Source organism: Homo sapiens, chromosome 1 (assembly GCF_000001405.40).
Source record: "Homo sapiens chromosome 1, GRCh38.p14 Primary Assembly".
Taxonomy (NCBI): domain Eukaryota; kingdom Metazoa; phylum Chordata; class Mammalia; order Primates; family Hominidae; genus Homo; species Homo sapiens.
Genome location: NC_000001.11, coordinates 155,033,806 through 155,060,039, shown reverse-complemented (window position 1 = coordinate 155,060,039; position 26,234 = coordinate 155,033,806). Strand labels below are relative to the sequence as shown.

The window sequence follows — 26,234 nt, the reverse complement described above, 5'->3', positions numbered from 1 at the left end:
GGGGCAAGATAAAGCATGAGACGCTTTGCCCTCCCAGCTGCCCCTGTCCCCCACCCCCATGCTACCTTTGAGCTGAGTGGTGCAGTCAGGGGGTGCCCAGCCCTCCTCACAGTAGCAGTGCCTGTTGCTGTCACAGACCTAGGAGGTACAAGGCGAGCAATGAGGAGCTCTGCACTCTGGAACTATTTCCTTGTCTCTAGCTTTTCAAGATCTCAGATTTCTACAACTGGGGGTTGTGCTGGGTATGTGTGTAGAGACAGCCCGGAGGGAGGGTCTTTATCCATACCAGAGCAAATTAGATCAAACTAACACTTACTGAGCTCCTTCTGTGTGCTGGGCACTGTGGTACATGCTTTCTTTCTTTGTGTTTGTTTTGTTTTGTTTTATTTTATTTTATTTTAGACAGCAAGTAAGATGGAGTCTCACTCTGTTGCCCAGGCTGGAGTGCAGTGGTGCAATTATGGCTCACTGCAGCCCCAAACTCCTGGGCTCAAGCAGTCCTCCTGCCTCAGCCTCCCAAGTAGCTGGGAGCATAGGTGTGCACCAGCAGGCCTGAATAATTTTTAAATTTTTCCTTGAAAGAGATGGGGGTCTCACTATGTTGACCAGGCTGGTTTTGAACTCCTGGCCTCAAGTAATCCTCCTGCCTTGGCCTCCCAAAGTACTGTGATTTGGCTGGGTGCAGTGGCTCACCCCTATAATCCCAGCACTTTGGGAGGCTGAGGCGGGAGGATCACTTGAGGTCAGAAGTTCAAGACTAGCCTGGCCAACATGGTGAAACCCATCTCTACTGAAAATACAAAAATTAGCTGGGCATGGTGGCGGGTGACTGTAATCCCAGCGAGTAGGGAGGCTGAGACATGAGTAATGTTTGAGCCTGGGAGGCAGAGGTTGCAGTGAGCCGAGATCACGCCAGCGCACTCCAGCCTAGGCAACAGAGCGAGACTCTGTCTCAAAACAAAACAAACAAACAAACAAAAAAACTGTGATTATAGGCATGAGCCATTGTGCCCAGCCTGTGCTAGATGCTTTCATACTCATCTCATGTACCCTGGATGGGGATACTATTATTATAGCCATTTGATAGGTGGGGAAACTGAGCTCAGCAAAGTTAGTAACCTGCCCGAGGTCACACAACTGGGAAGTAGTAGAGCAAGGATTAAAACCCAGATATGTCTATTTCCAAAGCCCAGTATCCTTTTCCTCTCTAGAGGCTCTCTGCTCCCCTTCCACTTCCCCCATCCCAGCTCACCCCATGTCCATGGCATTTGCTTCGACATTCCTGTGCCCCCAGGAGATCCACACGCTGGCATCGATGGTCTATACACACCTGACCCAGGGAGAGAAGAGCCTGGATCAGATTCCCACAAAGCTTTAATGGGACTGGGAGGCCAATAAGGTTGAGGCCATACCCTGCGTTTACAGATGGGGAAACCAAGGCATAGTGAGTTGATAGGACTTTGCTCCATCTGAAGTAAGAAACTGACTTCCCTTGGAGTCCCTGCCTTTGACATTGGTGAATGGTGAAGTCTGGGCTCTGTTCATTGTGGTCCAAATGTCCCTTCTCACACCTGGTCTTGCCCACCCAGGCTGCTCACCAGGCCAGGGCCACAGGCTGTGCCAGGCAGAGTCAGGAGGGGCTGGGCCACATCACTGCCCAGGTCCAGGTGCACCCAGCTGCAGTTCAGCTCAGTCCCATTCACATCTATTGTCTCCCAGAGTAGATCCCGGATGGAGCCCAGCAGAGGCTGGGTCCTACCTGTCTGGCACTGGAGCTGCCCACAAATGGCATCTCTGTGGGGAGGGGGAAGGGCACACAGAGTTAGTAGGAGCAGGGCCAAGGCTCTCAGAAACCCAAAGGAGGAGCCAGGTTTCCTCACTTACCTAGGGGTGCAGGACACATAACTGCCACTGGGGTTGCGCCCACAGCTCCCAAAAGCATTTCCCCGAGTATTAGCTGTCTGGAGGCAAAGTGGCGCAGCGGGCTGGGCTCCAGGTCCCCAAAGTGACTGGCACTGCTGGGCATAGGAGGCACAACGCCCGTGCATGCACACAGCTTGCCCGCCAGCGCAGGGCTCGCCATCCCCTAGGCTGACATCAGGGGGACACTGGGAGCTGTCTCCTGGGCAGAATTCAGGCAAGTCACAATCCCCTCTGGTAGGACGACACTGCCAGCCAGACGGGCGCAGCTGTGGAGGGTGGATGAGCATCAGTGTGGGCACTGAGCAAATCCAGCCGGGGGTCAGAATGACCCTTTCCACCTTGGCCCCGGCAGGTGAGCTCCGGGTGGCCAGTCTAGTCTCTACCCACCTGGCAATTTTGACAACAGGGTCCGTCAGATGCACACTGTGCACCTGGCCTCAGCTGGCAGGTCAAAGAATCACAGCAGGGATCGACGCAGTCCTGTGGGCAGGAGCACGGGGGCCGGGCATCAGAGCAGGTGGGGCCTGTGAGCCTCCCTCCAATCTCTCCTCCTCCCACAGGCCAAGACCAGAAGCTACACAGCAAGCGAGGGCTAGAGCCCAACAACCCATGTGCTGTCCCCACAGACAGGGCAAGTAGGAGAGGGGTGGAAAGTCCCTTCAGAACCCAAGAGCTCAGGAGGCTGGGATAGGGCTAATGAGCCAGGGTGAGGGTACAGAAGTGAGTGGGGCGAGGCTTTGGGAAAGGGGCTCACATCCAGGAAGCCACAGTCACACTGCTCGCCCGGCTCCACAAACATATTTCCGCAGAAAGCAGCCATAGGGGGTAGGCTAGGCAGCCGTTCGAAGAGGCAGCTGCCCATTCCATCCAGGAGGGCTTTCTCCAGGGCCCGTCGGCTGCAGTTGCTGAAGTTCAGGCCTGGTAGGAAGCTGGGGAGGGTGGCAAGGAAGGTTGGGGCTGGGGGCCTCTCCCTGCCCCCTGCCCCACACCCTCTCTCCATCCTGCAGCTACTTACTCTGTGGAGGCCTCCATGATGCAGGTCTTGGCTGGGGCTGGACCTGGACAGGGGCAGCTATTCCCAGGCAAATCATGGTCCAGGCCCAGGCTGTGGCCCAACTCATGGGCTATGGAGGAGGCGACTCCCAGGATGCTGGTGGAGTGGTCCTGTCATTGGGGAGGGGTACTGTAGGTCCAGTCCCAGCCTGCCTCCACCACAATGCCCAGACCACCCTCTCTGCTCCTGTTCCCTCCACGTCTGACCTCGTGGGCACTCAGCAGGCACTGCTTCCCTCCTGAATTGCTTCTAAAGTAGGAGAACCCAGGCCTGGATGGCAGAAACTTGGGTTCTAGCTCAGCTCTGTCCCCCTCCCTCACTGGAGGGAGATCACCTCTGTTCTTTGGGCCTTAGCTGCCTCCTACCCTCCTCTAAGAAATGGGAAGACTGCACAGGGGATGACTGTGTACACTGTGACTAGCTGGCCATAAGCGAGGGCTCCCTGATAGCAAAGGCCACATCACGTACCTCCACCCTCTATACCTGTAGCTTTGGGGTTGGGCAACTTTATAGGGGGGTTTCAGTGCATAAATGCCACCACACTTGGGAGGAACTGAATTGGGAATGAGGAGGAGACCTGGAAATAACTCACCATGTTCACACCTCCTGAGAAGTCAGGAGAACAGATGGAGTTCTGAATGGCCATGCCCACCGTAGGCCCAGAGAATGAAGTACCACTGTGGGACAGAGAGGCTAAAGTTCAGGGCCAGAAGCCACGGTGGTCAGAGCTTCAGGGGCTGAGGTAGGGTGCTGAAGGGGTGTGAATTTGGCCAGGACAGGACTGGCCTCTCTGGCTGAGTCTGGGGCCCTTACGTCACCAGCTGGGCACTGTCATGGGGCAATCGAGGCAGCAAATGTGCCCTGCGCCAGTGGAGGAAGTTTTCGAGGGTGACAGCTGGGTTTGGGCTGATCTCCACCAGGTCACGCTGGGTCCAGGCCTCCAGGCCCACTAGTGCCACTCGTACATTCAGGGGCCGGAAGAACTGAAAGACAGCTGGGGCTCAGAAGAGGGGTTGCCATGGTCAGGGGCCTGGGGTGGGGGTTGCCCTGTCCAGCACTCACTGTGTCCAGCAAGAGGGCCACTTCCAGTGTGCGGTTTAGCAGGTGCTGGAAGTCCCGGTATTTCTGGGCCTGTAGGCCAAGAGAGGTGACATGAAAGGCGGCAGGGCAGTGCAGGGGGAGGAGGATGTGCAGGGGCCAGCAGGCTCACCTCCGAGTGATCAGCCACAATCACCAACTCCACAGTCTTGGTCTCTGTTACCACATCCCGCCTCTACTATGGACAAGAAGAATTATCAGGCAAACCTGCCGCTCGCAGCCAGCAGCTGTGCCGGGCTGACCAAGAGGCAGCCACTCCTACTCTGTGGGTCAAATAGGAGGGTGAAGAGCCCATTTTACAGATGAGCCACTGAAGGCCAGAGGGCCCAGGAACTTGCCAAGGAGGACCAGGAAGTAGATAATGAAGGTTGGAGTAGACCCCTGCTTTTCTGGCTCCAAACTCAGTGGTTTTTTTCAAATTTTTAAAAAACAGTAATTTAGCTGGGTGCGGTGGCTCACGCCTGTAATCTCAGCACTTTGGGAGGACAAGGCGGGTGGATCATGAGGTCAGGAGATCGAGACCATCCTGGATAACACGGTGAAACCCTGTCTGTACTAAAAAATACAAAACATTAGCCGGGTGTAGTGGCGGGCGCCTGTAGTCCCAGCTACTCGGGAGGCTGAGGCAAGAGAATGGCGTGAACCTGGGAGGCGGAGCTTGCAGTGAGCCGAGATCATGCCACTGCACTCCAGCCTGGGAGACAGAGCGAGACTCTGTCTCAAATAATAATAATAATAATAATAATTTTTAAAAATCCCAATAACAACTCTTGTCACTTACCATAGGTCTGGCATAGTTTTAAGCACTTTACATCTATATGGACTTATTTAATCTTCCCAGCAACTCTATGCAGCAAGTAGTTTTATTATCTTCATTTTACAAATTAGGAAATTGGGTTTATATTGCTTCATCATTGGTAACTATGTATTATCTATAACCAAGTGAGAGCTCTCTGCAAATGGGATCATAAGACAGATGAAGAGCCAAATACAACTAATAAATGGATAGGCCATTTATTAGTTGTAGGGCCTCGGGCAAACCACCTAATCTGTCTCAGCTAGATTTTATTTTATTTTATTTTTATTTTATTTTTTGAGACGAGGTCTCACTCTTTCACCCAGGCTGGTGTGTAGTGGCTCGATCTCGGCCCACTGAAACCTCTGCCTCCTGGGCTCAAGCGATTCTTCCACTTCGGCCTCCTGAGTGGCTGGAACTACGGGTGCACGCCACCATGCCCAGATACTTTTTGTAAGGTTTCGTCATTTTAAAATAGAGCTATTGATAGCACCTACCTCCTAGGTATGGGAGGAGTACACGAGCTAATGTTCACAAAGTGCCCAGCATGTGGAAAGTGCTCCATTCGCAGGAGCTGTTGTTACTGTGCACACATAGCTCTAAGTGTCTGGGGATCAGCCCTCAAGACAACCAAAGCCCACCCCCCTGCCATTCATCCTCACCCGGCGAATGTGGCGCTGTCCCAGGGGGTGCTCTGGTGGCTTCTGAGTGTGTACAGATTCCCGCCAGCTCAGGGCACAGGTGTGGCCTGGCAGGTGGAGATCTTGGATTCGCGAAATAATGGGAGGACCCTGAAGGTCCCCAGGCCCCTGCTCCAGGGTATAGCTTCTCTCTGGGGTCAGGACCACCAAGCCTCTAAGAAAAAAGAAAGTCAGAGAACATTTCAGCTCCATGCCTGGGTCTCCTTACTTTCTCTACTGTCATTAAATCCGCCCAGTATACCTGAGCCCAGAGCAGGTGCAGATGGACACCCAGGAGCCTGCATATCCCCGCACTCTTCCCTGGTAGCAGCAGTTCTCCTGCAGCATGGGAACAACATTAGTGCTGTCTCAGAGAGCACACCAGGACTGGAACTGAGGAGCCTAGCTTGACGGTAAAAATATGCAGTGTCCTCTCACCTTCCAGCCACCCCCTCCCTCTTTCCCCTAAGCCAAAAATGGCACAAGAGGGCCTGACTCACCAAAGTGTGTCCCTCACTGACCACCCGAGTGCCATCGGGCTGGTACCACACCAGGGTTGGGCGGCCTGGGACCAACTCCCTGTGGAGTGAAGAAAAAGAAGGCAGTGCTAAAGCCACTTCCCAGGTCGTGCATTGACAAGCAGAGGCTTGAAGGTGGTTGTGGGGCTGGGGACCAGGCAACCCCCGCAGCCAACTTTTCCACTCCTGACCCCGGGGCAGCAAAGTATACTGGTTGGGCCACTGACTCTGTTAGTTTATTTGAATTCCAATCTGGTTTTCACCACATACTAGCTGTGTGACCTGGGGCAAGTTATTTAATCTCTCTGTGCCTTGACTTCCTCATGTATAAAGTGAGGACAATAATACATGATAGTATATCCCTTATAGGGCTGTTATGAGGATTAAATGAGCACAAGCACTTAGTACCTGGCACATAATAAATGCTATACAAGTTGTTGGCCATGTGGTCACTGTTATTGCCACCATCACTATTACCTATTCTGTAGCAGCTCCAGGATATGACTGTCACCGTCCAGCTCCAACTTGATCCTCAGGGGCTCAGGCAGACTGGTCTGTGGGCACCAGAGGGCAGGTCACCTCCCTAGACCTGTCCACAACTCCCAGCCTCTCTAACCAGAAAACCTCAGGCCCACAGAAGAGCACCAGCAATTAGATCACTGGTGGGGGGATCCCAGGGGAGGGGCCAGGAAACCCTGCCTGGCCTGGAGCATTGTTCTGGGGGGTTGTGTGCGGAGGTCAAGGAAGGTATCTGAGCCACCCCTTCTCGGCTTCCTGCCCAGAGAGGAAGCACCGTGTAGGACCCAGCACAAGCCCCAGCCCTTCCTCTGACTCAGCTTTAGAATGGGGTGGGGGGGGGGGGGTTTGGTAAGGTCCTGACTCTTTCCAAATCCCCCCACTGAGAAAACCGACAACATGAGATGAAGAAAGCAAGTTTGGCTTCACAATTTCCCCAGTGGAGATGGATGGGTTGGGTGGGGCTGAGGCAGACAGATACACGTGTGTGCAGAGGGAGAGGGAGATAAGTGAAGCCAGGTGCTGGGGTGTGGTGGGAGAGGCAGCTGGGCCTGGGATAGACCCACTACAGTGAGCTCTACCCACCAGCTCCTCAGCCAAGCTTTGGCTTTGAGACACCTGGCTATACCGGGGCGTGTGTGGATTCGTTTATTTATTAGAGGGGAGTGAGAGCTCACCTGAAGCACCTTTTTGAGGCTAATTGGGAGATCGTCCTGAAGGACCTGGGGCTCCAAGGGCTCCCTCGGGGCCTTCTCTGACTCTGCCTGCTGCTCCTCAGTGCCACCTGCAGGTCCCAGGACACCCCAAGACAGTACTGAGGGAATCGACAGCAGGGCTGGGGGTGACAGGTGCCCTCAGATCCACCAGCTCCCAGCCCATCAAGACCCTTAGGTACCTGAGGGGCTTCCACATTGCATGCTGAGACTTAAAGAAGAATACTGGAAGGAGAGGGTGTCTCTCTAATTTATGGCTTTCCACCCACCAACCCATTCACAAGTCCCCAAGAAAGACTTTCGGCTTGCGCAGCCTGTGGCCCTCCTTGTCCCCTTCCGGCCAATCCCAGGTTCTCACAGGACCCTCCCCGGTTCCCACTCCCTCCCAATCACTCTCCCCCCACTTCAGGAACGCCCCCTCTCGAGACTGAGCTAAGCCTTGTGGCCGGGTGCCCGCTCACCCTCCCCTTCGCTCACATCGGAGATGCCAGGAACGCCCATTTCTGGGTGAGCAGTGCAAACACCCCCACCTCCCTAAACACCCTCATGCCCAGTCAGGCACACCCGCTGCCTACAGCCTCTGCTTCCTCCTCGAGCACCCCCCACCCCCCCAACACACAATGGCCCTCTCTCCTCCGGACACTCCACCCGCGCCTGCCCTCTCGGTCCCGGCCCAAGACAGCAGCGGGAAGTGAAAGTTCCAAGGAGGAGTTGGTGTCCCAGCCTCTTTCCTGGCCAATTCTCCCTTCTCCTGGCTCATCTCGGGCCCCTCCCGCTCGGCCAGGCACTGGTGGCAACAGCACCAGGGTGAGGAGTGCCTGGCGGCCCCAGGCCTGGAATAGAGGCTAGAGAGAATCCTCTTCACTAAACCCTACAAGCCATGCCCGCTCAGCGCCCTGGCACCGGGTCGAACGGTTAGCTAGGCCCCAGAGCAGCGAAGATGCCAGTCCTGGGGAGCAGCGACCCTCTCATCACGATCTTGAAGTGGCGCTGGACAGGCCCCTCGGTACCTGGTACCTGAGCCTGAAAGTGTCCGCAGGGACCGCGCAGAGGATGACCAGGCAGGAGGCAGGGGGCGCCGGCATCCCCCCTCCTTCTCTTTTCACCCCATCGCCAAGTCACCGGGCCCTAGGCCCAGGACAGCGGACCAGGGCGGGCCGCGCTCTGGCTGGGCTCTCCCAGGGTCTCCGTCCGGCCCCATTACCCTAATGCCTTCCGACTTTCCTGCACCTCCCTCCCAGTCCGCCCCCCGACCCACTCCAGGCGGAGGACTCACCTATATTTGGGAGCGGCCAGGAAGGCAGAGGGCTGCCCGCGCCCAGGAGCCCCAGGGCCCAGAGCAGCGCCAGCCGCATGGCAGCGGCGCTCCGGGCCGGGCGAGGGCAGCAAGTGCGGAACAGCGCGCGGAGGAGCGGCCGGCGGCCAGGTCGCCTCGGAGAACCCAGCAGCGCCGCGCGGCCACCAGGCCCCGCCCCGGCCCGCCCCCTCCCACCCGGCCCCAAGCCAAGCTCCGCCCCCGGCAAAGCCCGCCCCGCTGCGCGCCGGGTGCCTCGGGAGCGGGGACACCGCCCACTACGCCCGCGCTGCTCAGCGCTACCGCTTCCCCGCAACTGTGCGGAGTGGGAGCCGGTGCCCGGTCCGACCGGCTTGGGCGGCGCGCCTTCACCCGGCGCCAGGTCCGGACCCCTCCCTAGTAGCTTCGCGGCCTCCCTGCCTCCTGTGCGCGGCCTGGCTCGGAGAGGTCGGGCGGGCAGGCTTTCCCGACTGCAGGCGAGGCAGTGCGCGGCTCACCCCAGTCCCCGACCCACGTGAAGCGTACAGGGCATTTTATTAACCGGGAAGGACGGTGCGGAAGAGCGAGCAGGACGCCTCTTCACCCCGCGTAGGCAGTGTCGTCGTTGCTGTCACTAAAGGCGGAGGAAGAGAGCTCTTCGCGGGGCGTGCAGACCGGGCACCGCTGCCGCATGTCGTCCCAGCACGACCAGCAGTACACGGCCTCGCAGTCCAGCGTCCGGCACACGTAGGACTCGGGCGTCTCGGGTGCCTGGCACACCACGCAGCGCCGGCACAGCCAGCGGCGCAGGAGCGGGCAGCCGCGGTGCAGGATATCCGCCAGCGGGTGGCGCTGTTGGGAGGTGGGCGTTAGCGCCAGCCCGGGAGCGAGGCGGGAAAGAAGGGGAACTGGACAGCGTTTCCTGTCTGAAGTCGCCAGGCCTGACAATTCCCGCGTGTTGGAGGAGGCTGGGTTGGACAAAGGAAACCCCTGGAGGGCGAGGGTGCCTCCCTCCCCAACTCTGTGATGGAGAATGGGAGGATGCACCCTCCAGGCTCTCTCCAAGCGGATATCAGCCACAACTCTCATTTGCACTTTCCTGTAAATCATCTTATTTGGTTCTCACAGTGAGGCTGAGAAGTGAGCAGGCCAGATCGACTATCACTGTTGCTATCCCCACTTTACAGTTGAGAAAGGTGAAGTGACTCTCAAAGTCACACAGATAGTAAACAATCCAACTTGGCTGGACCCCAGGGGCCCTGATTCCAAACCACAAACCTAGTTCACTATGCTCCCTGCCATCCCTCACGACATGTCTCTACACAGTTGTCAGGGATTTTCCACAGGCCACCTTACCCAGGAAGCAGCCACTCTTTGCCCAAGAAACTCCAGAGGCCCTGCTGCCTGCCAGACAGGCAGAACTCTTGGGCTTGGCCTTCAGAGCCTTCCCTCACCTGGTCCCTTTCTAGCCTCTTTCCTACTTTAGCCCTCCCTGAGAGCTGTCTCTTCTGAGCCAGTTTCTCCTGAGACTAGCCCTGGCACTTCGCATTCCCTGTGGACTGAGTCTTTGCACATTCTGCTTGGAATGACTGTCTGGCACATTTCCATCTGTGCATTCACATTCAGTTTGCTTCACGACCCTGTCAAGGAATCCCAGCATGTTCTTTTTTGTTTTTTGTTTTTCATTTTTTCACAACACATTCATTTGGCCCCTATTGTGTGTCATGGGGGCTGGGGGTATCCAGGCCCTAGGGAAAAAGCTAAGCAAACACAGTCTCACTTTTATGAACTTTGTTAGGACTGATTAAATAAGAATGGCTGCCACTCATTGTTTATAATGTCAGGTCCTGTACTAAGATACTGTACATAAATTATTTCAATTCTAAATTAGCCGGGCGTGGTAGTGTGTGCCTGTAATCCCAGCTACTCGGGAAGCTGAGGCACGAGAATCGCTTGAACTGGGGAGGTGGAGGTTGCAGTGAGCCAAGATCACGCCACTGCACTCCAGCCTGGGCGACAGAGTGAGACTTAGTCTCAAAAAAAAAAAAAAATTCAATTCAATTGTCATGTAAGGCAGATAGTGTTATTATCATCTCCTTTTTTTCAGGTGAGAAAACTGATGCTTGGAGATGTGATCACTGCCCAGGGTCACCCAATGATAACATGCATGCATATGGAACTTGCTGCATGCCAGCACCATGTAAGTACAACTCATTTAATCCTTAAAACAACCAGATGGAGTAGTTAACCCCATTTTATGGAAGGCAAAAGCCCAGGCACAGCAGTTAAGTCATGTGCTCAAGGTCACACCGTTGTCATAGTAATGAGGGAAGGAGCCGGGATACACACTTAGGCCCTCTGGCACCGGAGTCCCACACCTGACCACCACTCTAGGCTGATCTCCAGTGAGCAGGCCTTACAGATCTCTCCAGTCTTGCCATTCTTCAGAGGGAGAAACTGAGGCTCAGTGAAGACCTTGGCCAAGGTGACACAACTTAATGAGGGAGTATGGACTGGAGTCTGCTTCCTCAGATTCCATGTGCCTTACCATGTGCCCCTGCATGAGGCCTTCCTGACTCCCAGCCCACCTGCCTCCTCCTGTCCCTTGAACTGCACTGAGCTTCTGGTCTGCAGCCCTCTGGTAGAAACTTTGGTTTTGCCTTGGGCCTCCTGTTTCTGTGCGGCCCTCTTGCTTTTCTATGAGCAGACTGTATTAAATCTCATTCTCCTTTTCTGCCTGCTTCCTAATGGTCCACTGAGTGTCTTAGGCTGGGCTGAATCCTGGGATTCAGAAACGGGCACAGCCCTGACCTTAGGAGCTGGATGGCTGGGGCCCTCAGCATGTGTTGCATCAGATTACACCGGGCTTGGCTGGGCTTGGTGGCTCACGCCTGTAATCCTAGGACTTTGGAAGGCTGAGGTGGGCAGATCACCTGAGGTCAGGAGTTTGAGACCAGCCTGGCCAACATGGTGAAACCCTGTCTCTACTAAAAATACAAAAAAATAGCTGGGCGTGATGGCGTGTGCCTGTAATCCTGGCTACTTGTGGAGTGGGGGGCTGAGATAGGATAATCGCTTGAACCTGGGAGGCAGAGGTTGCAGTGAGCCGAGATCGTGCCACTGCACTCCAGCCTGGGCGACACAGTGAGATTCCATCTCAAAAAATAAAAAGAACTTACCAGGCTCGAGTAGGCCTGCGACCATTGGTGGGTGCTGGGTGGACTGAAGGGAGCTGCCCCTTGCCTGCTGTACTTAGACCCAGCCAGGAGCTGGCAGCAGCACTTACGCCTGGACTTACCGGAGCCTTCTGCTGTCGCTCCCGCCTCAGGATAGCGGCCCTCCTGAGTTTGGTGAAGGCTGCTCTTTTCTTCAATAGGTCATTGTAGAGGAACAGGATCCGCTTCTTCTCTCGCTGGGGGCAGGAAGGGGGTCAATGATAGAGAAAGGCATCCCCCAAATATGGAGTTGGTAGGGAGCTGGGTGGTGTGTGTGTGTGTGTGCAGGTGTGTAGGGGTGGAGAGGTCTGGGGAGGGGCAAACCTTGGGGAAGTAGAAGGCTGCGATGACCCTCCGGAGTCGGTAGCCAAAAGCCTGTAACAGGCAGAGACACACTAACAGGCCAATCGGTACTGCAGCTCTCCAGTAGGCCCTGGCATCCAGGCCCACAGGCTGGGGCAGGCAGGCTAGGGGAGGGGCAGGCCAGGGGTCTGGTCAGGACCAGCCAAGGGGCAGGGCAGCCCTGGGTTGGACTTCCCATCCCAGTGGGAGGTGCAGTCCTCTGATTCCCCTGCTCTCCTCCTGCCTGCCCCTCACTGCAGAACTGCCCTGTCAGTACTGTAGCCGCTGGGCCCAATGTGGCACAGATCTTGCAGATTTCTATCTTGACTGAATGTCCTGTTGGACAGTGCTGCTCTGGAGGGCTGGGGCCCCCTAGCCACAAGACCCTGGCCTCCAGACTCCTCTGACTGAAGCTGGTCATGCTCCCCTTTTTCAAGCCTGCCCAGATGTGTTCCCTGCTCCGATTTCCCCAGCTCAAGCGCTCCAACCCCCATCTCTCCACACCCAAGGCCCAGGCCCCTAACTCTTTACCTTGGAGTCTTTTGACCCTTGCCCCACCGCCCTCGATTCCTCTGATCCAAACTTTCAGCATCACTCACGCATGTTGTTTGATTCCATCACTGTCTCTGAGGAGGTGTTCAGGGCCCCAATGGTTTTTCGAAGAAGCCGGGCTAGCATGGAGTCTCCCCCGACCTTCACCTCCAGTTTATGACTGCCTGCGGCCAGGAGGACAGGTAGGGAAGTCAGGGCAGGTGGAGAAATCAGGAATGTGTTAAGGGGGTGGATGTCAGGGAGGGGTCAAGACACAGAAATGCTTCTCAGCTGCCTGAGTCTTTCTGTCCCTTCCTGAATCCTAACCCCTCCCTGCTCCCAGTTGTAAGTGTAAAGGGGTACAGAGCCCCCCTCCCCTGCTGTGAGAGCTGTCAGGTTGCAGGGCTGTCATTTGACCTTGAGGAGGACAGGGAGGGGCTGAATCACAGAAAGGGGAAAAGAACAGGCAGAAGGATGGCTGGCACAGTGGCACACACCTGTAATCCCAGCACTTTGGGTGGCCGAGGCAGGTGGATCACTTGAGGTCAGGAGTTCGAGACCAGCCTGACCAACATGGTGAAACTCTGTCTCTACTAAAAATAGAAAAATTAGCTGGCCGTGGTGGCTCACACCTGTAATCTCAGCTACTCAAGAGGCTGAGGCAGGAGAACTGCTTGAACCTGGGAGGTGGAGGTTGCAGTGAGCTGAGATTGTGCCAATGCACTCCTCCAGCCTGGGTGACAGAGCGAGACTCTTTGTCTCAAAAAAAAAAAAAAAAAAGAGGCAGAAGGACGAGGCACAGTTGGAAGAACTAGGGTGGGGTGGCTGTGCAGGCATTGGAGTTCTCCAGAGGGTGTCTCTTGGGCCTGGAATGTGTCTGGGGGATGGGCTTACTGCGGAAGGAGTACTGCAGGAAGGAGTGGTGGCGGATGGTGTCGAAGATGGAGTAGAGAGCCCAGTCCAAGCCACACAGCACCACCAGCAGCAGCAGAATGGGCAGTGTCTCCAGGAGCTCCCTCACCTGGCCAAGGAGCAGGAGGGGCAGAGCTGGGCAGTGCCATCTGCCTGGGCACGGAGCACTCTCTGGTGCCTTTTACCCTCCACCCTCACCTTCAGGCCTGTCTTTGCACCCAGGAGTCCGCTCCCCATGCTGTCCTCACCACATTGCTCATTTCTGAGGCCTGGATGGTGGGCTTGCAAGGGAAGATGACGGTTTTCTCCTCAGCTTTGCGGAGTGGCAGCAGAGTCCGTTTGCCCTGGAAAACAAATGTCCACACAGTTAGGAAGCCCAAGGGCCCTCTGCCCTTTCCTCTCTGCCTTCCTGGAGCATGAACCCACACAGGGCACACAGCAGCAAGGCATCCCCGGGCAGTGCCGTGCCCACTCACCAGCTTCTTCCTGCGGTCATCGATCTGGCAGAAGTAGGTACTGATGTAGATGTTGTCAAAACGAATGTCATGGTTATAGCTGTCCATGTAGGAGAAAGACCTGTGGGTGGATGGGCAGGGATGTCTCCATCTCTTCCAGGTTCTCCTCATCTATCCCCAAACATGGGCTTCCTTGAGGCACAGTCATTCAACCAACCAGCCAGCATTCATTGAGCACCATCTATGTCCTGGGCACTGCTAGGGGATGGTGATAACAGGGAGAAGACTCTGTCCCTGCCTTCCAATTGTGTAGAGGAAGACATCCCCCTACATGATGGGTGAGACATAGCAGAAGTGAGTAGGGGATGAGGTGGGGGCTCAGAGGAGGGCATGGTCAGCCTGTCTGGGAGGGAGTTGCATGTGTGCATCTGAGGTAGGGACAGGCATGCATCTTACAGGATGAATATCGAGCAGAGTTACAGAGAGGGGGAAACTCCTTGAGGTTTCAGGAATCACCTAATCCACTGTGACTCACAAATTCCTGCCTCTTGGCTTTGCCTGCAGCATATCTCCTGGAAGTGTGCTGGGGCAAAACTCATCCCAGACCACCATCTCCATCCTCCCCCAATACACCCTGGCTCTCCCTGGCTACCCTTGAGCACGGTGCACGTGTGCATGGGTGCATGCCTGCATATATAGCTATCCCCCATGTATTTCCCAAAGCCCTACATAATGCTTCAGTTTGCTAAGGAAAAAATGTTAATTACTGCAAATGTGTTTAAAACTGTAAAAGTACATTAAACAAACTCTGTAAAGTGTGAAACATTAGTTTCAATGCTATTGCTTCTGGGGCCCTGTAAAAATCCACATCTTTGCCTTTAAAACTACTGTAAGTGCAAAGACATACTGTGAGTGCCCTCTTGTGGAGAGGCTCACAGAGGTGGTGCCTGGGCTTCCTGAGCCAGGGCCTGCCCTCCCGCCAGCTGTCCTTTCAGTGCATGACCTCACCCAGCTTGAAAGCCTGGAAGTAGCTTTTGACTCTGTGCCTCCTTCCTTCCCTCCACAAGCTGGCTCTGAGCCTCGCTGCACCTTTCCCCTTCCCCCACCATCTCAAGCCATCTTCCTGCCATGCTCTACCCGGGCCAGGCTCCCTAACCTCCAACCCAGCCTGGCCTCCCGCCCTCCCTCCAGACTTCCTGAGGCCATCTTGCCACCACCGCCAGTTCCAGGTCTTCCTGCAGGGCTTTCCAGACTGTTCTGGTCATGCCCACTTCAGTTCTCCAGGCCAGCCTCTGCCCTCTGCATCCCATGGATACCAGGAGCCTTACGCAAGGGACACCCTTCTTTCCTTGACCACCGTTCCGCATCTGCGGCCATTTGGAGCCCAGTTATTGCCCTTCCAAGGGGCACCTTCCCAGCTCCCATACACGTCTCAAAAGCCAATCCATAGAATGGCCCTTGAACCATCTCTGTCTTGTGGGTGTCTCATGATCCCAACTAGATCATTAGCTTTTTTTTTTTTTTTTTTTTTTTGAGACAAGCTCTCACTCTGACACCAGGCTGGAATGCAGAATGCAGTGGCACAATCACAGCTCACTGCAGCTTCGACCTCCCAGTGATTCTCCTGCCTCAGCCTCCCAAGTAGCTGGGACTACAGGCATGTGCCCCACACCTGGCTGATTTTGTTCATTTTTTGTAGAGACGAGGTCTCACTGTGTTACCCAGGCTGGTCTCAAACACCTCAACTCAAGCCATCCTCCCACCTCGGCTTCCCAAAATGTTGGGATTACAGGAGTGAGCCGCCATGCCTGGCGATCATGAGCTTATTGGGGGCAGGAATAGAGCTCCTTCATCTTTGTCTTCCCATGGGGCCCTAGATACACACATACCCACTCACTTGCAGTCACTCTAGGCCCCCCACATAGGGGCAGACAGAGCAACAGCCCTGTGGCAGCCCTCACCCAAGCCCTGCCCATCTCAGGTGTTTGGGAGTGGAGATGGGAAATAGAGGGTCCAGAGACCAGCAGGGGAGCTAGAGCAGAGCAAGGCCCGGGGCAGCCCAGCTGGACACTGGGCTGGGTGGGGTTGAGGACTTTGTTCTAAATGGAGGGAAAGTCGCTGCCAACGCAGCAGGCAGGAGAAAATGAAAGCAAAATGGAAAGATAAAAATGGCACAAAGTCAGAGCCAAGGGGAATATGAAGGGCAAGAAAAAATCAAAAGTCAAAGCTAAACGTAAAAAAAAAAAATCAGTATTGGGATAAAGGCTGGAAGGAGGTGGATGAATGAAGACGGTTGGCCTTTTAAGGCAGTGGGAACATGGGTAATGTTCTTCTGACAAAATGTCCACTTTTCCTTTAACTTTGTGTAAACAAAGACAAAGGTAAATAATATTCAGATTCAGAGGTGAGGATAGGTGCTAGGGTTCCATCCTTACAGCCTCCCTCAGGGCAGGGCTCCAGTCCGGGGCAGAGGAGGGGCTGCTGGGGTGGGGACTATGGCTCACGCATGCAGGACCAGCAGGAAAGTGCAGGAGAGCAGCACGTGCAGCAGCCCCAGGGCCCACTCCAGCCGGGCCTCCTGGCGGTACACGTAGTCCCGCACCTCGGTGCTCACGCGCTCCCAGCTTGTGTTGAGCCCCAGCACCCCAGCCTGCTTCTCTTCCTGGTGGAGGGCACATGAGCAAACTCAGCCTGCGGCCACCTCGTCAGACCTGGGTCCCACCTCTTCATGACATCTGTTCCCCAGTACCCCACTTGTGTCCCTGGGGCCCTCCCAGGACCTCTAGGAGTTGTCACTTCCTTCTGCTCACCACCCTCCTGGACACAGTCTTGCTCCCCTGCACCTACATCAGCTGACATCATCTCATATCTGGCTGATAGCTCCCACCCCAGGCCAAGTCTGCACAAACCACAGGCTTGGCACTGTCCCCTCCTCACCACCTTTCCCCTCCCCTGCCCATCTCAGGTGTTCGGGGGTGGAGATGGGAAACAGAGGGCCCCCTCAACACCAGCGACATTCCCCCTCCTTGTCCCCCTCCCTCACCCCTGGTCACCTCTTTCCTGTGCCCTCTCACTTGTCCTTCCTCTAGCTCTATTCCCTCATGCCCTCCTCCCACTCCCTATCTACCCCCCACCAACCCTCGCCCTTGCCTTCTACCTTGAAGTCAATATTGGCTGAAAATTCCCCATCCAGGCCACGAATAGACTGGTTGAGGGAGTCGTAGGTCTGCCCAAAGTTGCCTTCCACTGGGATGCGATTGCGGCACCAAACCTCCATCACTGGTGAACAGTGGACGGGGTCAGGGGCCTCCCCGGGCCTGTCCTCCAGGTGCAGGCCTGGCCTGCCTGTCCTCCTGTAGTCCTCCTCATCCTGCTTTTTTGTCTCTCTGCCCATGGCTTGCTACCACACCAATGCTGAGTCTTCCCCTCTCTGCTCTCTTTGGATCCTGCCCTCCAGGAACCAGACCTGAGTTCCCTCATTTTTGTCAATCTATCCTCAACCATAACAAACATCAGTAAGGAGAGCCAGCGTTTACAGAGCAGCTCCTCTGTGTGCCAGCTCTGCCACTGCCTTCACATACGTTAGCCCCATAAATCCTTAAAAGCCCTTAATGTGGCTGGGTGCGATGGCTCACACCTGTAATCCCAGCACTTTGGGAGGCTGAGGTGGGTGGATCACCTGAGGTTAAGAGTTCAAGACCAGCTTGGTCAACGTGGTGAAACCCCGTCTCTACTAAATATACAAAAATTAGCTGGGCATGGTGGCGGCCACCTGTAATCCCAGCTACTCAGGAGGCTGAGGCAGGAGAATCGCTTGAACCCGGGAGGCAGAGGTTGCGGTGAGCCGAGATTGCGCCACTGCACTCCAGTCTGGGTGACAAGAGTGAAGCACCCCGTCTCAAAAAAAAAAATTAATGCAAGAACTACTGTTATTCTGCCCATGCGCATCTTTCAGATGAAAAGCCACAGCTCAGAGCTTTGCTGTAACTCACCCTGCGTCACAGAGCTATTCAGCAGGTGGAGGGCTCTAAGGATGCTGTGGCCTCAGGGCCAAAACCCTCCTCATCTGTTGCTTTCCTGCCTGTCACCTACCAGTGGGTCCCAAGGACTCAGCTCCCTACCCCGATGCTCCCCACCCCTTTGCAACTGTGCAGACCCTTGGCAATGCCACAGAAGAACTTGAACTTCATAGGCAGGCAGAGCAGGTGGGTGAGGAGTGGGACCCAGATGTGCTTCATGCACTGTTCATGCTTGCGGTCAAACCAACGACGGCAGCTGAGTATGGCCTGGTTCACCACATCTGTAGGAAGGAGCAAGGGTGTCTGAGGTTCCCACATCTTGATCCACAATGCTGGCCCCACATCCCACCCCACCCTCCACTCCCCAGGGATACCCCTCACAGGAGCAACGCAGCTTGGTCTTCAGCTCATACATCTTCTGTGTCGACAGGTGGAGTCTGGAGGCTGGGGCTTGGCGGGCCTCCCTGCCCTGGGCTGTCTCCCCTGAGTCCATGGTATCCTCAGGCGTGTAGCCCGTCTCACTATTCACCTGGGCATCCAGGTCCTCAAAAGTGGCGGAGATGTTCCGAGTCTCTGCTCTCAGCAATTCTTTGCTACTCTGGGATTGGAGGTGGAGGGAGGAAAGGGTGAGGGCTGGGGCTTTAGAACTTCTGCTGCCTGAGGGCCTGTCCTCCCCCAGTAGCCAAGCTTTGGGTTCTCACCCCAGGCCGACAGGGAGCCTAGGCCCTGAGACACAGCCTCTCACCTCAAATTCCCGGCTGTCCATTGCCCTTGGGAGCCCCCCCACCAGCTGCCTTGTCTGATGCCACATGTCCTGGCTCTGCGTACCTCCCAGACTCTCAGCTCTTCCTCAGTCCTCCCATCCCAGACCCTTCCTGGTCAGTGGTTCCCCAGGTCCTTAGACCTTACCCTTCACCACTAGTCTCTGAGATCATTATGCCATCTGAATGCCCCCAACTTCCAAACCCCTCAGCCCCCATGTCCCCAACTCTCCAGCTCTCCAATTCTCCCAAACCCCCAGTCTCCAGCCTTCCAATACCCAATTCTTGAATACTCTTGTCTTCGAAACTTCTGAGCTACTCAAGGCCAAAGCCCCCAAATTTCCTAGATATTCTAGTTCAGCTGTCCAGAGTACTGACCACTCAGGTATTAGGAAATGTGTATAGAGCATGTCCTAATGACTCAGGGGCTCTCCTGGCATTTAACACCAGGACCAGGGCACGTTCTGCAATGTTTGGGAATAGTTCTGCAAAAAATGCCAGTAGTATCCCCATTGGGAAACTGTAAATCCAGGGTGACAACTCCCAGCTCAAGTTAACTTGGCCCCAGGGAGAGGGACCCCCCAGGCTCTGCCTGTGCAGATTCCTGACCAGCAGGTCCTTGAACATGGCCCGTAAGGGGGCTGTGGAGATGCGCCAAGCTGCGCGGGTGTTGTTGATCTGCAGCTCCACGGTGCAGCCCAGCGATGCGATCACGTTGTTGAGATTGTGTCGCAGATTGGCTACTGGCCCTGGAGAAAGAGGCCCTGGTTGGTCACCTCCCTGTATAACCAGCACTTTCTCAAACCCGCTCAGCTTCCCTCTGCAAATAGTGCCCATCGCCTAGAACTATACAGTGGTGGGGCCGAGAGCCTATGAAAGGTCAACTTGTTCAACCTTTGATTTTTTTCACTGTTTTTTTTTTTTTTTTTTTGAGACGGAGTCTCCCTCTGTTGCCCAGGCTGGAGTGCAGTGGCTCGATCTCTGCTCATTGCAACCTCCGCCTCCCGGGCTCAAGCGATTCTCCTGCCTCAGCCTCCTGAGCAGCTGGGATTACAGGCACACGCCACCATGTCTGGCTAATTTTTTGGTATTTTTAGTAGAGACGGGGTTTCAGCATGTTGGTCAGGCTGGTGTCGAACTCCTGACTTCGTGATCCGCCCGCTTCGGCCTCCCACAGTTCTGGGATTACAGGTGAGCCACCGTGCCTGGCCTTTTTTTTTTTTTTTTTTTTTTTTTTTTTTTTGAGACGGAGTCTTGCTCTGTCACCCAGGCTGGAGTGCAATGGCGCAATCTCGGCTCACTGCAGGCTCCGCCTCCCAGGTTCAAGTGATTCTCCTGTCTCAGCCTCCCGAATAGCTGGGACTATAGGTGTGCACCACCATGCCTGGCTAATTTTTGCATTTTTAGTAGAGATGGGGTTTCACCATGGCTGGTCTTGAACTCCTGACCTCAGGTGATCCACCCACCTCAGCCTCCCAAAGTGCAGGGATTACAGGCATGAACCACCGTGCCTGGCCAATGTTTTCACTCTTATAAACTGAGGAGGCCCAGATATGGGGAGGAGCTCCCTCAGGGACATACAGTGAGTTAGAGCAGCTGGGATGACACTCCTGTCTTTTCTCCTTCACCCGGCCTGGCTCCCATTGGATGACCCACCCAGGGTCACTGCTTCAGTGTAACTCACTGGCCCCCACATACTCACCCACATAGATGGCAGCCAAGGCGTATCCCAGGACAAAGAGCCTGCCTTCCTTGCCCAGCATCTTGGGTACTAGTAGGAGGCTGGCACAGCGGATGTGAGGGGAGGTCCCCCAGCCCATGGCCCCCAAGCCTGTCAGGAGAGCCCAGGAGGTGGTGAGCTGAAGTGAGGAAGCTGCCTCCCTTCCTCACGTTTACCAGAGCACCCACCTGCAACACCCCCTTCTGGAACCACCACCATCCTGCCCTTATCCCCATTTACACTGACTCTGATAGACCTGCTGGGCCACTCATTCATTCATTCAGCAGCCACTCACAGAGTTTAGCTATGTGCCAGTCTCTGGAAGGGCATAGAGGGATGGCTAGAACTTAAAAAACCACAAATGATTGACTTGTGTGTGTTTGTGTTAGGGAAGGAAGCCAAGGTTTTCCGGGCTACAGTGACACTGACCCTAGGTGCTGAGGGAGCAGAGAGAGCAAGAGAAAATATCTGGAAACAGGTGCTCATGCTCAGAATGGTCAGAAGAGAGATCAGAGCCCACCTCAGTACTCCCAGTACTCAGACACCTACAGCACTCGCAGTCCCTGCCTCTAATTTTAGCCCTTGGTCATGTACCGCCTGGTATGTTTTAGCAGTTTCACATGTGTCTCCCTGTGGTCTCTGCAAGGAGACAGTGAACTTCTGGAAGCTCATAATCCAGAGAAAGAGACAGATGAGTAAACAAGTGACTACAACACGATGTGCTAAGTGCACAAGGGAGGTGCTTATAGAGCGCTGTGGGAGCCAAGGAGGGAGTACGTATTTCTTCAGGGAGGGGTGGGGCTGAGAAGGCTGGACAAAGACAGGACGTGTCAGCTGGGCCTGGAAGGTGAGTAAGTGTTGTTAGGAGGTGCAGATGGCATTCCAGGCCAAAGGAACAGTATAAGCTGGTCGGGGGAGCTAGAAGATTCCTGTGTTGATGGAATGTTCACCCAATGATCGTCAAAGCAAATCCCAAATCCTTACACTTCCTCCATCTCCACTGTCGTGGTAGAGTCCCCATCATCTCTTACTGGGACTATAACCTGATGAGTCTCCCTATGTCCTCTCTTGCTACCTTACACTTCAGTTTTTACAAGGCAGCCAGAGTGATCTTGCAAAAGCATAAATCGGATCATGTCCCTTCCCTGCTTCAAACCATTCGGTGGCTTTCTACCACATTTGGTATAAAATCCGAACTCCCTAACATGGTCTACCTAGCTTGTGATCTGGCTCCTGCCTGCCTCCTGATCTCATGCTATGCAGCCCTTCACCCACCATGTCTACCCACACAGACCTCGTTGCTGCTCCTTGGACAAGCCAAGCTCATTCCTCCTCTCTGGTCTTTGCCCTAGCTGTTCCCCCTGCCAGGAGCACTCCTCTCCCTGTTCTTCACATGGCTGGCTCCACCTAGTCATTCAGGTTTGTGGCAAACCCTGTCGGGTGCCACCCCACAGTTTTTTTTGTGCCTTCTTCCTTGCTAACACAACTTGGGTTTTTTGCAAGGGCAATAGCCTGGCCCTGCCCCAGCCCCTGAGGGATAAATCTGGATCTGTCTAAACCAGTCATGGTAGAACAGGACACTGAAAGGGACTAGTTCTGTGGTCTTGGCCTTCTGGCCAAAGACTCGAGCTGAGGCTAATAGTTGACAAATAGTTGCCCTATGTTCTAATGAGAGCCCCATGGAGCTATGGGTGTCTTCTTTGGGCTCACCAAAACAGCAAAACTTGACTCTCACTCCTCTATCCCACCCCATCTATATAAAAAGAACAGCAATATGGGCCAGGCATGGTGGCTCACGCCTATAATCCCAGCACTTTGGGAGGCCAAGGCGGGTGGATCACTTGAGGTCAGGAGTTTGAGACCAGCCTGGCCAACATGGCTGTCTCAACTAAAAATATAAAATTTAGCCAGGCATGGTGGCAGGTGCCTGTAGTCCCAGCTACTCAGGAGTTTGAGGCAGGAGAATTGCTTGAACCCGGGAGGCGGAGATTGCAGTGAGCTGAGATCGTGCCACTGCATTCCAGCCTGGGGGACAGAGCAAGACTCTGTCTTAAAAAAAAAAAAAAAAAAAAAAAGACCAACAATGTGGATTTCCTGGAAGGGGAGAAAAGTGGTTGGAATGGGCAGGCAGAGAGGGAGAGTCTGTGGAGAGGATGGGTGTCACATGTCAAGTGAGAGACTCCAGGAGTCCAAGAGGCTTCAGGGACTGGCGCTGCAGGAAGGGGAACCTGCCTGGTCTCTGTAGACTAGACTCCTGCTGAGTGCAGAGCCTCATGAGGCCACTCCAGGGCTCCCACCAGAGCACAGAGTGGAGGGAGAGCTCCTGGGAGAGCTCAGCCTCTGTAATGCCTCTGTAGACCTCCCCTGGACGATGTTGGCACACAAGCATGGAGACTGGCATCTGCTTCTCATCAGGGCAGGAGAGAGGCAACCATAAGGTGCTCTGCTTTTGATGGGGCGTTGGTGGCTCACGCCTGTAATCCCAGCTCTTAGGGAGGCAGAGGCGGGAGGATAGCTTGAGCCCAGGGGTTTGAGACCTGCCTGGGCAATATAGCGAGACCCCATTCTCCACAAAAAGGAAGGTGCACTGCTTTCTCTGCCTGGCAGGGCACGGACGTGTGCACTCCCAGCCTGCTGGAGGGAGGGATCCAAAAAGCAAGAGGCTGTGGGTGGCCCCTGAAGGGGGGCTTCACTCGAGGTCAGCCAAAAAGAACTGCCCTCTGCAAGAAACCGGGCATTGCCGAGGTCCACACACAGCCTCCAAGGGGACAATAATCAGGCCTACTGGGACAGCCAGGGTGTGAGTGCCTGCTACACGCAGGCATCCACAGTGGAATTATAATAGCATTAGTGACTTAAGACTTTTGTCCCTTTTCCTCTAATTCTTCTAATCTCCCTTCTGACATCAGAAGAACCAGAAAGGGAAGGAAGTAGAGGAAAAAAGGGAAAGAGCAGGCCACGCCCCTTCTCCATTGCAGGACCCCATGCTAGGGAGCAGGCCTGAGCTGGGGGCGCAAGGGATGGGGAGGGCAAGATAAGGAGGGAAGATGCTTGAGAATGGATGAGGTTAAAAGTCTGATGTAGAGTGGACTGGACCTCTTTAACCCCTAAAAATAAGTCTTAATTGTTGAAGTAGGACTAGGTCTTCTAAAGAAATACAACCAGAAATCTAAGGGGCTGTGTGAAAGGTTATCAATGGGAAAAAACATGTTTGAATACAGTGGGTCAGAGAAAAAGTAGTCTCCTGTTGGTATCCAGCAGGATTAATTCAATAAACAGGTGATGAAATGCTAATTCTATTTCCCTTGCCTGGGACAGGTTCAGGAAAGGGCATGTGTTGCACGCAGTTCTGACCAAAGAGATGTGAGGAAGTCTACTGTGGGGATTATAGGCAAGTTTCCCTTGTTCCTAAAAAGAGACATGAGGAAAGGATGTTTCTTCCTTTTTTTTTTTTTTTTTTTTTTTTGAGACAGAGTTTCACTCTGTCACCTAGGTCATTTTCCTTTTTCCCTGGCCTCAAATCGCACAGCCCAAGACAGTGAAGTTGGGCCTGGGATTGAACTTCTATTCTTTTCTTTTTTTTGAGATGGCCTTTCGCTCTTGTCACCCAGGCTGGAGTGCAGTGGCACGATCTCCACTCACTGCAATCTCTGCCTCCTGGGTTCAAGCAAGCCTCCTGCCTCAGCCTCCCAAGAAGCTGGGACTACAGGTGTGCACCACCACATCCGGCTAATTTTTGTATTTTTAGTGGAGACAGGGTTTCACCATGTTGGCCAGGCTGGTCTCAAACTCCTGACCTCAGGTGATCCACCCGCCTCAGCCTCCCAAAGTGCTGGGATTACAGGCGTGAGCCATTGTGCCTGGCCTGTTTCTTCCTCTTTTTTTATTTTTTTCTGATCTTTGATATTATTGTATGAAGATGTGATGCCAGAGTTGCTGCAGCTATCTTGTGACCTGAAGAGAAGTGGTCAATAGACTGAAGATGGCAGAGAAAAGACAGAAGGAACCTGAGTCCTTCTCGAAGCTACTGAGCTGTTAAATTATCCAAACTGGGCTGGGCACGGTGGCTTACACCTGTAATCCCAGAACTTTGGGAGGCCGAGGCAGGTAGATCTTTTGAGGTCAGAAGTTCGAGACCTGCCTGGCCAACATACAGAAACCCCGTCTCTACTAAAAATACAAAAATTAGCTGGGCATGGTGATGGGTGCCTGTAATCCCAGCTACTTGGGAGGCTGAGCAGGAGAATGGCTTGAACCTGGGAGGTGGAGGTTGCAGTGAGCTGAGATTGAGCCACTGCACTCCAGCCTGGGCAACAGAGCGAGACTCCGTCTCAAAACGAAAACAAAAACATACAAACAAAACCAAAGCAAAACGGCTGGATGCTTGTCATCCTTGTTTACTGCTAAATCCTCAGCAGATTCTCAGTAAGTGCTGAGTGAATGAATGAATGAATGAATGAATTTAATTTCTTAGGAGGATCAGAAAACGAGGTCAGACAGGTCAGGAGAGATGAGAGTTATGAAGGGTTATGGGGTTGGACTATATCATGTGGGTGATGGGGAGTCCCTCGGAATGGAGAGACTCCCTCAGGGCAAGGACGGTGTCTTCCTTCTTAAATTGGCAGCCTCTTCCCTCTGGACCTCCCCGTAAAGCCCAGGAGGAGGCGGAAGCCACAGGGGATGTATGGGTACAGAAGAAACAAGTCCCGACTCCTTCCTGGGCATGCAGGACGGCGCTGTGTTCCACAGGCCGCTTGAGTGTTCCTGGCTTTTGCCCAGCACTAACCCACCAAGCTGTACAAGAACATAATCTTCTGTTCTTCGTAGATGTTCATGGGGTTCACCAGGAGCTGAAAGAGACCTAAGGGCACAAGGTCAAGCCAAAGGCCAAAAGATGGGTCCTAGCCCTGGTCCAGCCTCTGCCCACCCCGAACTTTCTGCTTCCACACTCACCTATGGCCAGGAGCCCCCCAGCGCCTGCCCCCAGCAGGAGAGCAGTGACAGGAAACTCGCCCGGCTGGCGCCACAGGAACCAGCTACAGGAGACTGGCAGCCCCCAGGTCAGGAGCCTCTGCACCGCTAAGAGGGGGACAGGGTAGCTCAACAGCCCACTCTTCTGCCTGGGATGGGGCTCATTAGGATTCAGGGCTTGCAGGTGGATAGAGGCTGGGGAAACCTGGCATGTGAAACAGTAGGAACTTAGGGGACCCTGGAGGAGGATGAGGGAGCCTGAGGAAGTGGTATGGGTGTAAGGGACAGCAAAGGCAAGGGCTGGGCTGGGAGGCGGGAGGCACTAGACCAGAGAGGTGGTGGAGGCGCGGACACCGAGTTGGGGGATAGTGTGCAGGAGTTCCAGGAGGAGAGATGGGATGAGAGTGGAGGTCAAGGGATACTGGGTCTCTGCTGAGTGACTCACTGGTATGAGGCTGTTTTCTTCTTTGCCCTCTTGTGCCATTCTGATGATGTTTAATGTCCATGAGTCTGTTTTGGGGAAGCACCACTCATCCCAGGTCTCCTGAAGGACCTCCTTGGACACAAGGTTCTGGTGAGAGAAGAGAGGTGCTGCCTGTCTCTTCCGCTTCATGGGAAGCCTAGGCCTGAGCTCTGGGCCTTTTAATCCTTCTGCTCCGAGAAGTGGGGAAGGAGATTAGAGACCTACCTATCCCCTCTCCAGTCCTCGGAACTGGGTCAAGGATTCCAAGACATAT

At 54.5% G+C, this 26,234-nt stretch overlaps 2 protein-coding genes and 2 long non-coding RNA genes across 17 annotated transcripts in view, besides 3 other annotated features; 1 reads left to right on the top strand and 3 right to left on the bottom strand.

The window, feature by feature from the left end:
- The window catches only part of ADAM15-EFNA4 (ADAM15-EFNA4 readthrough), an 18,238-nt gene extending 9,514 nt beyond the window's left edge, over nt 1-8,724 (bottom strand). The window contains exons 1-17 of the long non-coding RNA NR_176418.1: nt 8,575-8,724; nt 7,263-7,369; nt 6,547-6,623; nt 6,052-6,130; nt 5,814-5,890; nt 5,534-5,726; nt 4,188-4,250; nt 4,040-4,108; nt 3,791-3,960; nt 3,570-3,654; nt 2,939-3,087; nt 2,678-2,852; nt 2,311-2,403; nt 1,885-2,189; nt 1,599-1,794; nt 1,253-1,330; nt 66-138 (exon numbers count right to left, since the gene is read on the bottom strand). This is a non-coding gene — a long non-coding RNA (ADAM15-EFNA4 readthrough). The remainder of the gene's footprint in view (nt 1-65; nt 139-1,252; nt 1,331-1,598; nt 1,795-1,884; nt 2,190-2,310; nt 2,404-2,677; nt 2,853-2,938; nt 3,088-3,569; nt 3,655-3,790; nt 3,961-4,039; nt 4,109-4,187; nt 4,251-5,533; nt 5,727-5,813; nt 5,891-6,051; nt 6,131-6,546; nt 6,624-7,262; nt 7,370-8,574) is intronic.
- The window catches only part of ADAM15 (ADAM metallopeptidase domain 15), an 11,460-nt gene extending 2,736 nt beyond the window's left edge, over nt 1-8,724 (bottom strand). For 10 of the 12 annotated variants that reach the window (NR_048578.2, NR_048577.2, NR_048579.2 and 7 more), the window contains exons 1-17: nt 8,575-8,724; nt 7,263-7,369; nt 6,547-6,623; nt 6,052-6,130; nt 5,814-5,890; nt 5,534-5,726; nt 4,188-4,250; nt 4,040-4,108; nt 3,791-3,960; nt 3,570-3,654; nt 2,939-3,087; nt 2,678-2,852; nt 2,311-2,403; nt 1,885-2,189; nt 1,599-1,794; nt 1,253-1,330; nt 66-138 (exon numbers count right to left, since the gene is read on the bottom strand). Coding sequence is in view for 9 of the 12 variants with exons in the window: in NM_207197.3 (NP_997080.1) it covers nt 66-138; nt 1,253-1,330; nt 1,599-1,794; nt 1,885-2,189; nt 2,311-2,403; nt 2,678-2,852; nt 2,939-3,087; nt 3,570-3,654; nt 3,791-3,960; nt 4,040-4,108; nt 4,188-4,250; nt 5,534-5,726; nt 5,814-5,890; nt 6,052-6,130; nt 6,547-6,623; nt 7,263-7,369; nt 8,575-8,653 (2,068 nt within the window). In the remaining 3 variants the exon portion in view is untranslated. Of the gene's footprint in view, nt 1-65; nt 139-1,252; nt 1,331-1,356; nt 1,795-1,884; nt 2,190-2,310; nt 2,404-2,677; nt 2,853-2,938; nt 3,088-3,569; nt 3,655-3,790; nt 3,961-4,039; nt 4,109-4,187; nt 4,251-5,533; nt 5,727-5,813; nt 5,891-6,051; nt 6,131-6,546; nt 6,624-7,262; nt 7,400-7,480; nt 7,510-8,574 lie in introns of those variants that run through there. The other 2 variants (NM_001261464.2, NM_001261466.2) reach the window with 2 other exon arrangements.
- Nucleotides 1-14,849, top strand: part of DCST1-AS1 (DCST1 antisense RNA 1) — an 18,801-nt gene extending 3,952 nt beyond the window's left edge. Inside the window, exons 1-4 of one of the 2 annotated variants that reach the window (NR_040772.1) lie at nt 8,875-9,433; nt 10,679-10,771; nt 13,794-14,080; nt 14,187-14,849. This is a non-coding gene — a long non-coding RNA (DCST1 antisense RNA 1). Of the gene's footprint in view, nt 1-8,874; nt 9,434-10,678; nt 10,772-13,793; nt 14,081-14,186 lie in introns of those variants that run through there. The other variant, NR_040773.1, reaches the window with a different exon arrangement.
- Nucleotides 2,493-3,303: an enhancer, noted in NCBI's record as "H3K4me1 hESC enhancer chr1:155029213-155030023 (GRCh37/hg19 assembly coordinates)". NCBI's record gives its function as "activates a minimal SCP1, AML or CMV promoter by ChIP-STARR-seq in primed H9 embryonic stem cells {active_cell/tissue: H9 hESC(primed)}" and the evidence as "EXISTENCE:reporter gene assay evidence [ECO:0000049][PMID:30033119]".
- Nucleotides 8,560-9,019: a silencer, noted in NCBI's record as "silent region_1383". NCBI's record gives its function as "represses an Ori minimal core promoter by ATAC-STARR-seq in GM12878 lymphoblastoid cells {active_cell/tissue: GM12878}" and the evidence as "EXISTENCE:reporter gene assay evidence [ECO:0000049][PMID:35858748]".
- Nucleotides 9,110-26,234, bottom strand: DCST1 (DC-STAMP domain containing 1). 2 transcript variants are annotated; one of them, NM_152494.4, is made up of 17 exons: nt 26,186-26,216; nt 25,943-26,068; nt 25,480-25,605; nt 25,313-25,387; nt 20,509-20,637; nt 19,416-19,555; nt 18,427-18,643; nt 18,183-18,326; nt 17,184-17,305; nt 16,531-16,688; nt 14,048-14,147; nt 13,820-13,915; nt 13,554-13,680; nt 12,728-12,844; nt 12,111-12,253; nt 11,870-11,983; nt 9,110-9,423 (listed from the first exon to the last, which is right to left on the bottom strand). In NM_152494.4, the coding sequence occupies exons 2-17, from the start codon at nt 26,001-26,003 to the stop codon at nt 9,172-9,174; spliced, it is 2,121 nt and encodes a 706-aa protein (NP_689707.2). In that variant the 5' UTR covers nt 26,004-26,068; nt 26,186-26,216; the 3' UTR covers nt 9,110-9,171. The 2 variants fall into 2 exon arrangements, with proteins under 2 accessions (NP_689707.2, NP_001137159.1); NM_001143687.2 differs by lacking the exon at nt 25,313-25,387 and having other exon boundaries at nt 26,186-26,234.
- Nucleotides 9,490-9,549: an enhancer, noted in NCBI's record as "active region_1802". NCBI's record gives its function as "activates an Ori minimal core promoter by ATAC-STARR-seq in GM12878 lymphoblastoid cells {active_cell/tissue: GM12878}" and the evidence as "EXISTENCE:reporter gene assay evidence [ECO:0000049][PMID:35858748]".